The 12426-nt window shown below is 35.7% G+C and overlaps 1 long non-coding RNA gene across 2 annotated transcripts in view, besides 1 other annotated feature; it reads left to right on the top strand.

Annotated features, from left to right (window-relative positions):
• Positions 1 to 12426, top strand: part of LOC105372190 (uncharacterized) — a 312925-nt gene that overhangs the window by 262670 nt on the left and 37829 nt on the right. The window lies entirely within an intron of this gene.
• Positions 3135 to 3304: an enhancer, noted in NCBI's record as "experimental_49980 CRE fragment used in MPRA reporter constructs". NCBI's record gives its function as "activates a minimal promoter by MPRAs in K562 erythroleukemia cells, with activity observed for the non-introgressed 18:71092638 variant allele {active_cell/tissue: K562}" and the evidence as "EXISTENCE:reporter gene assay evidence [ECO:0000049][PMID:34662402]".

The following is a 12426-nucleotide window of genomic DNA, read 5'->3' as shown; positions in this document are numbered from 1 at the left end:
GTGTAGACAAGAGCGTACGTTATAAAGAAATTGACATGGAATTGAGGGCAGGAAGAACTCTGACAAAACGACCTTTGAGAAATATATTAGGAAACCAGAATGCAATCCACAAAGTTCCCGTGGCAGGAAAAATCATTTGCTATATCTGTCCTTAATTTTTTTATTTGATATTAATTGCCTTAAGAAAGTCGAAGACTCAGAAAAGCTAAATAGAGGAGTTAGCTAATAAAATAATATTTGAAAAACATACAGGAATATGTTAGTGTTTTGCTATTTATTGACTAAATTGCTATGTTTTGGGTTCAAATCCATTTAGAAATATTCAGGTCTGAGAAAGTCATGACCCAAGAATATGCCTAACCTTCATAACAGGAAAAAACACCAAAAGGAGGCAAAACCATTCCTTGACAATAAGAAACATGTTCTGTTTGTCTGTGTTTTGTTCACAGAGGCAGCATAGATCACCAAAACTCAATTGGCCAAATATTAATTTGAACAAATTCTTCTGTATTCATGGGAAGCAGTTCTAATAACGTGGAGAAAGACACTCCGCAAAGTTAGGCTCCTGCTGTCCCACAGAGAGTGGTCATTCTTGATTATTACATTTCAAAAAGATGACTCCCAGGTCTCTCAGAAAGAAAGTCTTGTGTTGTGAAACTGATCAGAGACTTTTAAAAAAAGATTTACAGCTCAAAGGGGCAGAATTGACAATTATGTAGTAGTCTGGAACAAGAGAGGTTGGAGCCTAGAGTCAGGAAGAAATCTGTCTAAACTTTAGTCAAGCTCACAGGGAAGTGATGGCCACTGTGGTCACCCCAAAAGTTGTCTCCTGCCCCTTGGGAATCCCTCCTCCTCACACCTTCTTTCCCTCATAACAGCCAATCTGCTTCTTTCACGATAGATTAAGTTGCCTTTATGAAACTTTCTGTAACTGGAATCATACAGTGCATATTGTTTTGTGTGCTTTCTGTCACTCAGTATAAATGTGAGATCCATATCTGATGTTACCGGTATTCATTGTCCAATCCCTTTGATAGTTGGGTAGTATTCCATTGTATGGATAATACCCAATGTTTAAATTGCTTCAACTGTTGATAGGAATTTGGGTTATTTCTAGCCTTTGTTTTTTTGGCTGCTAAAAATAGCTGCAGTGAATATTGCCATGCAAGTCTTTCTATGAGCCTATACTTTAACTTTTCTCATGTAAATTCCCAGGAGTAGTATGGCTGTCATATGGTGGGTGTATGTTTACCTTTTAAAGAAACTTCCCAGTGTTTCTTAAAGTGACTGCACCATACAATAATCCCACTAGCAGTGAGTTCCAGTTCTAGTTCTGCCAGATCCTCACCAGCACTTGATTTGATCAGGCTTTTAAATTTTGTGCATTCTTTTTTTGTTTTTGTTTTTTGAGACGGAGTCTCACTCTGTCACCCAGGCTGGAGTGCAGTGGCGCGATCTAGGCTCACTGCAAGCTCCGCCTCCCGGGTTCACGTCATTCTCCTGCCTCAGCCTCCCAAGTAGCTGGGACTACAGGCGCCTGGCTAACTTTTTGTATTTTTTAGTAGAGACGGGGTTTCACCGTGTTAGTCAGGATGGTCTCGATCTCCTGACCTCGTGATCCGCCCGCCTTGGCCTCCCAAAGTGCTGGGATTACAGGCGTGAGCCACCGTGCCCGGCCTAAATTCTGTGCATCCTAAAAGTGTACGTAGTATCACACCGTGGTTCTTATGACTAATGATGCTGAACACATTTTTAAATGTGCATTTACCATACGTCCATATTCTCTGGACAAGTATTTGCTCAAATAATTTGAGGATTTGGGGAGCTTGTGTGTTTCCTTATTATTGAGTCTGAGAGTTCTTTATATATTCTGAGGAAAAAGTCCTTTATTAGGTATGTGATTGACAAATATTTCCTTCCATTGTGTGACTTGTCTTTTCCTCCTATTAGGAGTGTAAATGAAAGAGTAAAAGTGTTTATACTGATGAAGTCAACATAGGGTAAGAGGAGAGACAGGGTCTCCAAGGAACCACATGAATTTAGTCAACTCGAGCAAGCAGCCTGTTTTACAGCCTCCTACCCTGCAGCCTGCTTCTCCCCAAACCCCGTATGGAATGTGGTCACCTCGGTTGTTGGAACTAGCCTTTGACAGACCCTAGAAACTTACAGATGAACTCAAGTGAACTTTCTTCATGGCCATGCTAAAGTCTCCACCCAAACCAGGGAGGAGCTATAGCTTTATCACCACAACGTGCAACCTATGTGCTGGCATGATGACTCCCTGCACCTGCATCTCCTCTACACGTGACAATGTGCCTTCTCCCCTCTCCATCACCCCATGAAACCCCCCTGTCAATTTCCCTCAGGGAGACACTGCCTTGGAGAATACTCCCAGCGTCCTCCTTGCTAGCACTAAGAAATAAAACTCCCATTGATCAAAACATGCATTCTCATGGAGAGTCATTTGTGACTCACCAGCCAAACGAACCATATTTTATATTGGGTAAAAATAGTTGTATTTATCTCCAAATATGTTCAATTCCACAAGTGCAGGCCTGGATAAGGCAGATTAAATTTAACCAGATCTAAATTTAGATTTAGATTTAAATTTAATTAAATTAAAATCTAATCAATTTTAATGAGATTAATTAACTTAATTTTAAATTAAAATTTAAGCATTATTATGGGTTTTCTGGTAGTTATTGCTCTAAACATTTAGTGGGTATATTGTTTGTTGCTTAGCAGTTATGTCAGTTTAATGAAATTTCTTATAAATTGGACTATTTTTCATTATTTTATTTTATTTCATTTTATTCTGATTTGCCCCAGAATAAAATGAAGGGGGAAAAAAACAGGAAGTTGATGGCATATTCACTGTAATGGTTAAAATAAATGACCTTGGGATTTAGGCAAACTAAAAAGGAGCAAATAGGTAGGTGGAGCTGAGGCATGATACAAAGGTGGTAACATCTGTGAGTCTCTGTTGAGATGCAGGATTTTGGATTCAGAGTGTGAGAGGGAGTGAATTGGAAAAATAGGAGGTGGTTGGATAGAGGTTATTTGAAATCATCATTTTTACAAGGTGTTCAGTTTTTAAGTTGAGAAATTCCAGGGAATGATCCTGGAATGAACGGCTGAAGAAGAGGAGATCAAATAATTGAGATGTCCTGTGTATGCATTTTGCATGCAGGTATTGAAATCACCAAGAATTAAGAAGGAGATGTGTTGGAGAGAGTGAAATTGAGTCGGGAGGTAAAATGTCCAAGAAACTAAGAAAATTGGATTGAATGAATTAACAAAACAGTGAGAATTAGTGAATGACATAGCCTGGTACAAATTGAGTGTTCTAGGGAAAAAAGTATGCTGGCAAAGGACACAGTCTCCACTCTGCCTGTCTGCTGCATGCTGTAGTATCAGGGGGCTGGAAATAATTGAACACTCCTAAAAATATAGTTCTGGAAAAAGAAGAGGAAAATTAATGAAATAATTTAAATGGTAAAAAACAAAAAGTTTATTGCGAATATCAGTTATTCTGCACATTAGCTATTCGGTAAATTGTTAAAAAAAATGACAGACAGCCTCATTGGAAGCAGGTTCATAATGTATTACCTGGTCTATGTTAGTGAGGGGAATCAAAGTGGGGGCAGTCACTGACATTCAGAAGATGGCTGGCACCCACAGTTAGACTGTACATTCTCCTATGGGAAGTAGTTTTACAGAATACCAACCTCACATAATCCTTATCCTAAAAATTCTGGAGATGATAACCATTATATTTTGATATTTAGCATATACAGGACAAGTCTGTATTCTATATCATTTTTGTTTTTAGATAACTTATTTTCTTTCTAGGTGCTTAAATAATTTTCTCTGTAATCTCTATCACAGTTGTGTGGTTAGTAGTGGCACTATTTTTATTACTTGTTCCAGAATCTGGTGAAAAAAAATTTTTATACCTTAGAACGTTTTTAGTATTATAAATATTAATGATATTAACAAATAAATATAAAAACAAAATGCATCTATAATCCACATCGTATCTATTGTACTCATACATTCATGCATAATATACACTTATGCATATATATCCATATATCTATCATTCATGTCTATCATCCATCCCTTCACCCATCTGTCCACCCATCCAGCCAGCTTGCCATCTATATGCTTATTCGTTCTGGTCTCTAAGAAATGCCAGCCATCTATACTTTGTCATTTGCTTTCTCTACATTTTATGAGGGCTTCATCAATGCGATTTTCTTCAGTATTACATAAATTCTTTAATGTTTCCAACGTGATTTTAATGTCTGCCTTTGTATTCTCAGTTTCCATGGAGCCCATTTTACTTCATCTGGTTTACTTCCCTCTGCTCCTTCCCTTCCTCTCTCATTCTTCTTTCTGGGAGAAGTGGTCTCATATTTTTCTCACCTTACGATTTTCTGATCATAATATCCTACTGTGATGTCAGTTTCATATTTTTATTTTGAATCCGTTAGAACAGTTTGCAGAAATTAAATTTGATTGTTTTTGGGTTTGTCTTTTTTTGGTTGTTTTATAAGATTTCGGTGAAGGCCAAGTTACTTTTTCCACTGTTTACCGAGGCTGGAATATTCATAAAATTAGAATTCAGGTTTTGTGTAACTATGTAAATTGCGTTTTGCCCATTCTCTGTTTGCTACTGAAGTAACCCAAAGATCTTCATTTACAGCAAAGGGAGGCAGAATAACTCCATGTTCTTTCAGGCAGTCACTAGGTGCAGGGATGCAGTGTCAAGACGGGATCATTTGTGCTGGACTCTAAGAATGTAGAAACCCCACATCTCCTCATTCCTATATCTAACAAGATTAAGATTCCTTATATGACCTTATTTGTGAGAATTCTACCTCCTAGAGTGCTAATTTTTAAAATATTTATTGCATTCTAATGTTTTTAGCAATATGGGAAATGAAGGGCATTTAGATAGAATTTAGGATTATCATGTTACCTAGAGTTTGTTTTCCTTAACATTTGAAGAAATGCTGAATTGAATATATATATATATATATATATATATATATATAATTTTTTTTTTTTTTTTGGAGACGGAGTCTCGCCCTGTTGCCCAGGCTGGAGTGCAGTGGCACGATCAAATTTATTAATACTTTAGGAAAAATTGAGACTGCAGGGATGAAGATGAAGATGCTGCAAATTTCTCATCACAGGGCAGACTCAATTCCAGTGATGCTATTATGTCCCTGCCAATTTGTTGTTAAATCCTGGAAAAGAAATGTTTCAAAGCCAAACCATTTCAAGAATCTTTCAATGATAGGCATTTGCTATGCTGAAATGGCCAAGGACTTAAGAGTGCTGCAGAGATTAGGGAATAAGCATTTTGAGTCTTCACTTGTGGTTGAATGCCTTGAATAATGCTAGCTACATATAAGCTGAAAAATCAATGATACAAAAACAACTTTAAGAACACGTTCAAAAATTCTATTTCTTAGTAGTTTACTCATATAAAGAAATCCTTCCATATCATAGCTTTATAATTTCCTAAAAAGACACTTTTGTACAACTTTCTGTGGGATAATATGACATGCATTATTAAGATTTATAAGTACCACAGGATTTGAAAACAATTCCAAAGTATTACTGCTGTTCTAGAAAATAATTTTTACCAAATGTATTTTTCCTACATTTGTAAAATGTAATAATAATTCATTAGGTTTGCCTGTGCTTTGTCAACTTATAATTAATGCAATTCTTTAATTATCCGCTCTGGTGAAGTGGTAAAGCCTCAATATTGTGCATTCAACTTCGGAAGATATATCTAATTTTTGGCATTTTTTTTCTGTTTCTTTTGTGAAAGTTAGACAAAGGCTCTCTGAAATAGCAAAAAAAAAAAAAAATTGGCTCTTATCCTTTTAATAGTACTGGAGAGATCTTGTATATTATATTTATATTTTTTCCTTGTCAAGTATTATGGTTATCTTTGAATGTGACTACTATCTTAAGAAAACAGAAGAAATATTTTCGATTGCTTTATATTTTGCTTATAACCTCATTACAAATTGAACTTTGTTTACAATGCAGACTTTCCATGGCACAGGTCAAAAATCAAACTTCATCACTTCAAATAGTCTGTTTAATTAAATCAAGGGCAAGCAAGAAACGGAAAAGTTCACTGTACCTATTTTATTTTTCAGGATTTTATTAATGAGGTACAATTTAAAATAGGAATCCTAAAATATTGTCTTCTTTAATTTTATATTAGCAACAAATTACATGTTAGTTTTTGAAATGGGTTTGGAATTTGTTCTATTATTTTTACCTTGTCAAACTTGTTTCATTTTATAAATGCTTTCTTTTAAAGGTCAACTATAAATTGTCTGGAGATTGTTTTAAATAAAATGAAGCAACAAATATCTAAATATGTTGCTAATGTTTTCTAAAGAGTTAATGTTCAAGTTCAATAGAAATTTAATACTAGGAATTCTTTATTTTCTAAAGTTAAAAATTTAAAGTGTTGGACATAAATCTGAAATAATCCATCTTCCTTTTAAAAGAAAATTGCGTTCCTTTTAAATACTCCCATGAAGTCTTATGAAATTCCATTTTTCTGTTTGTAATATAAAGAATAGAAGTAATTGGAATAAATCAAGAAACTATATATCACCAGGTCAGTATCTTCTCTCTGAGAGAGAGTACTGAACTGTGGTATATGTCATAGCTCTGTTCCCAAATATTACTCACATAAAAAAGAGAAATGTAAGCTAAAGCATGTCAGAATCCACCACAAACATATCAATCCCTCATAATAAATTTATCCTAATTTTATTTGAAGCTATTAGGATTTTAAATTATGCGGCTTAGAGTAATATTCTATGAAGTTTAATATCTGATATATAAATTTGAGTTTTTATTTTACTTTTTTTAAATTAGTAAATTCATGTTTCAAGGTTAACTTCCTGTGATTTGTTAAAGAAAACAACAGTCACCACTTCCTTTATTGTTTTAAATATTGATCAAAATTATCTTAAAAAGTCTGAAAAATTCTATATTTTCTTAGTCTGTTTTATGTTAGCAGTCTCTTACATAGGTTTGGCATTTATTCATTTTATAAAGCTGCTGTGTCATTTTCTGATGTCACTTGTGTAGATACAGGTTTATCTAGATCATAATTTTGCACATACCTTAAGTATTTTCTAATTTGCCTATTATAGTCCTCCTTAATCATGATCAAAATTGTTTCCTCACTGTCATATTGAGTAGTTGTTTTTAAGATAATGCTATGCAATAACATTCTTTTACTGAATAACTGATACCATAAAATTTGTCCTTCAAATTATGGTAATGTGTTAATATTATGCATCTTGATAGTTCACAGCATTTTTTTAGTTGACTTGGCATTTCATTACATAGACAAGCTTTATTTCATCTGTCAAATTAAGACATTTGTGCTATTAAGTCCCTCTTGTGACTAATTTCCATACACAGGCATTTTATCTTTAAGCATTTATGAATGTTTAACTGTGCAGTGTGGCATGGACTCCTGGGAAACCATTTCTATGCCTAGAAGAGTCCTTTCCCCCTACCCTTTATTTCTATCCTCTGAGTTCCCTATTCATGGAATACTCTCCTAAAGTTATTGTTTTGTATTAAGTTGGATGTGGAATTCTACTAATAATTTTAAATAATCTTTTTAAAGTGTTGTGAGATAATTACAGATTCACAGGCAACTGTAAGAAATAATACAGCAAGGTTTCATTTACCCTTTAACCCGTCTCCACCAATGGTAACATCTTGCTGTAGTACTATATCACAAAAACATAATTGGCATGGTACAATTTGCTCATCTTTTTTGTATTTACCCACATTTATATGTACTTTTTAAAATTTTTATGGAATTATATGTGCGTCTGTTTAGTTCTATGCAATTCTAACATGGGTAGATTCATGAATCTATTGACACTGTAAATAGATATAAGAAATCCATCCCCAAAAGAATCCATCATGTGGTGCTTTCACAATCACACCAGTCTCCCTAAACCATCCTAAACTCTGGCAAACAGTCATCTGTTCTGCATTATTATAATTTTGTCATCTCACCGATGTCCTGTAGATGGAATTGCACAGCATGTAATCTTTTGGGATTGCCTTTTTGTTCCTCACTCAGGATAATTGCCTTGAGACACATCCAAGCTGTTGAATTATCAATAGTTGTATGAGTTAGCAATAGTGCATTTCATTTCTTGCTGGTAGTATTCCATGGTACAGATGTACCGCAGCTTGTTTAACCATTCCCCCTTTGAATGCCATCCAGGTTGTTTCCAGTTTGGGAATATTATGAATAAAACTATTATGAATGTCCATGTACAGGTGTTTGTGTCAGCAGAAGTGTTTATTTCTCAGGGTTAAATGTGAGAGTGCAATTACAGGGTCCTATGGTAACTGCATGTTTATTTTTATAAGAAACTCAAATTGTTTTCTATAGTGCTACATCATTTTACATTCCACCAGCAATGTGTAAGTTGTCCAGCTTTTCTTCATCCAAACCAGCATTTGGTGGTGGTGGTTTATTCATTTGTTTATTTTTTAGTCATTCTGATAGGTACATAGTAATATCTCATTATAGTATTAATTTGTATTTTCCTAATGGTTAATGATGTTGAACATATTTTCATGTGTTTATTTGTGATTTGCATCTTTGGTGAAATACAGTCATGCCTTGTTTGATTGCACCTCACTTTCTTGTGGTTTGCAGATAATGTGGTTTTTACAAATTGAAGTTTGTGGCAACCCTGTGCCAAGCTAGTTTATTGGTCCCATTTTTCCAACTGTTTCTGCTCACTTCATGTCTCTGTCAACATTTTTTAGCAATAATATATTTTTAAGTAATCGCGTTTTAGACAGCTGTTCTTGCTCATTCGCTAACCACAGTTTAGCATAAATATAACTTTTATATACACTGGGAAACCAAAAAAATTGTGACTCACTTCATTGTGATATTCACTTTATTGTGAGGATCTGGAGCTATAGCCACGATGTCTCTGAGTTCTGCCTATAGCTGTTCATATCTCTACCTTTTTTTAATTTTTAATTTTTATGTGTACATAATAGGTATATATGTTTATGGGGTATATGGGATATTTTGGTACAGGCATGCAATGTGTAAAAATCACATCAGGGTAAATGGGGTATCCATCACCCAAAGCATTTATCCTTTGTGTTACAAACAGTCCAGTTACACTATGGTGTGTTGTTGTTTTGCATGGAGCTTTTAGAGTACTTTACATGTTCAGGCTACTACCCCTTTATCAGATACATGGTTTTCATAGTTTTTGCCCAACCTGTAGCTTGTCTTTTCATCTTCTCTCAAGGTCTTTCACAGAGCAAAAGCATTTCATTTTCATGAGGTCCAATTTATCTTTTTTTTTTTGGCTTTATAAATTATGATTTTGGTATCAAGTATAAATATCTTTCCCTAACTTCAATTCTGAAAACTTTCTCTTTTTTGCAAAAATTTTCTAGTTTTATGTTTCATGATTAAGCACATGATCTATTTTGAGTTAATTTTCATATAAGGTGCTTGAGATTTAAGTTGAAATTTTGTTTTTGTTTTTGTTTTAGCTTTTTTGCCTGTATCTATTCAATTACCTTAGTATCTTTTGTTTAAAAGACCATCCTTCCCATTTTAAATTGGTTTTGCATCTTTGTCAAAATCAGCTGGGCATATTGTGTGGGTCTATCTTGGGGTTCTCTAACAACAACAACACATAATAACACACTGTGTTGTTGCTATATCTGTATAGTAAACTTTAACATCAGGTACAGTGGTTCCATTCATTTTATTTTTTTCAAGATCAATTTGGCTATTCGAGGGCAAATTAGTTCCTAACAAAAGCTATTAATTTTTGTGTATTGGTCTTGTGTCCTCCAACCTTGTTTAACTCACATATTCGAGAAATTTTTTTTTAATTAAATCTTGGTTTGTTTTGGTTGATTTCTGCCTTAGTATTTCTTACATAGACAATCATGTCATCTACAAATAGGGACAATATTATAACTTCTTGTCAAACCAATATGTGTATTATTATTTTTCTCGTTTTGCAATGTGGCTAGAACTTCCAGTACTATTTTAAATATCAGTGATGCGTGTGTTTACCCTTGCCTTATTTCTGATACAAGTATGTAAACATTAGGCTTTCATCATTATGTATGATATAAGATATAGATTCTTTGTAGATAATAGTTTTTTAACCAATTTGAGACTTTCTTTTTTAGTCCTTACTTCGTGAGACATACATAATTAATTGGTTCCGATTTTTCTGCAATAATTACTATAATCATATAATTTTTCTTCCTTAGTGTGTTGACATGGTATATAACATCAATTAATTTTTGAAGGTTGAAACTTGCATTCCTGGAATAAATCCCATTAAGTCATGTTGTATAATTATTGTAATTTTCAGGTATATGCTTTCCATCTTGTTCTCCTGTATAACTTCTAGTTCTTTTCTGATATTTTCTATTTCTTCCTTTGTTTCAATATATTGTTATTGGTTTTTGAAGAATTTTTATAATCGCTTCTTCAAAAGCCTTGTCAGATAATTCCAATAGCTGATGTTTCTTGGTGCTGTCATCAATTGCTTGTCTTTCCTTATTTAAGATGTGATTTTTCTGGTTCTTAGTATTTTAGTGTGTGCATTTTTGTTGTTTGTCTATTATATTATGAGATGCTGGGTTCTATTTAAATCTTGAGAAAATTGTGTTTTCAATGACAATTTAATTTTAACAGCTTTTGTGGTGCTATTTTGGTCTGCTTGGTTTGTCTAATGATCTCTGCTGGTGCCATGTGAAGGAGCAGAAGGAGCTTCCCCAGGAGAGAGCAGGGGTGCCTCTCAGTGGGGTAAGGGGTCTCTGCCCCTGGAGACAAAGTTCCCTTGTGGCATCTGGCACTTTCCGTGTTGAGATTCTTGCTCTTCCGCTGGCAGCCTCTTGTTGCTCCTTATTGGTAACCCCCAATGCCTGGTGTTTACAAGTGAGATCAGGAGCTCTGCCCGGTGGAATCAAAGAAGGTTTTAGGGGTAAGCATTTACTTATTTGAGTGGGACGCTCCTCATTAGTACCTTCTGGTCACCAGGTATCCCCATAGGAATGAGGGGAGTTTCAGTAGATGGGGAGCTTCTCTGTTTCTGTCCCCGGTGATTTTAGTGGCAAGACTCTCTTGTCTGTGATGCCAAGCTATGTGTTGTCTCTAGGTGAGGAAGGGAGTCCTCTGGCCCATGGGTCAAAGAGACCTTCCCAAGTGGAGTCACGGTGACTTCGTCTTTCTTGCAGGTGCCTCTGGCTGCCCCCCTTCTGGGTGGGGCAGAGGAGTACCTCCTAAGGCCACTTACTATTAATAGAGCTTCCTGTGCATTTGCCTTCCTGGTGGCAGTGGGCTTGCCTGGTATTCTTAGACAGATTTCTGTGCTACGGGGGAGGAATGAACCTAGCTGGGATAACTTCCGTTGCTAGGTTGCGTTCCAGAGATGGTCGGCCTCGGTTGTCTTCTGCTGTTCAGTGGCAGGTCATAAGCCGTGTTGTTGCTACAGTCCTTCTTGTTTCTACCTTTCAGAGTTCTTATTTGGTTGCCTCTTGTATTATTTCCACTGTTTATAATTGTACTAATCAGGGAGGAGTAGGGATGGCTGAGCACGTCATCTTGTCTGAACCAGAGTTTTCTAACAAAGTTTTTGAACTTGGAAAATTAAATTAATTGCAACGATTCAACTCCCCATGGCGTGCTTTGTTAGAACTTGAAGATTTACTCTTTTGTTTATCCTTTTGTAAATAAATAGATTGCTTAATTAATTTATTTGCAAATTCTTTTTTTATTTTTGAGACCGAGTCTCGCTCTGTCGCCCAGGCTGGAGTGCGGTGGTGCGATCTCCGCTCACTGCAAGCTCCGCCTCCCGGGTTCACGCCATTCTCCTGCCTCAGCCTCCCGAGTAGCTGGGACTACAGGCGCCCACCACCGCGCCTGGCTAATTTTTTGTATTTTCAGTAGAGATGGGGTTTCACCGTGTTAGCCAGGATGGTCTCGATCTCCTGACCTCGTGATCTGCCCGCCTCGGCCTCCCAAAGTGCTGGGATTACAGGCGTGAGCCACTGCTCCCAGCCTGCAAATTCTTAACGTATGCCAAAACATGTGTGGGAAACTTTAAATTAAAAGAGGAAAAGAATTGAACCTCATCCTCTAGCACTCATGATCTACCTAGTGAAGTTTTACATGCAAACAAATAAATAAAGCAATTAAGACAAGCAGTATGATAGAAGACTATATGAATACATAACTCTCAAAAGTACAGAGATGAATTCATTCACTAGTATTGATTGAGGGAGTGGTGTGAAGTTTACAAAGAAGGTAACTGGTTAGTTGTGTCTAGCAGTGGCCTATAGTAT

Source organism: Homo sapiens, chromosome 18 (assembly GCF_000001405.40).
Source record: "Homo sapiens chromosome 18, GRCh38.p14 Primary Assembly".
NCBI classification, from domain to species: Eukaryota; Metazoa; Chordata; class Mammalia; order Primates; family Hominidae; genus Homo; species Homo sapiens.
The sequence above is the reverse complement of the archived record's forward strand: the minus strand, read 5'-3'. Positions and strand labels throughout refer to the sequence as shown.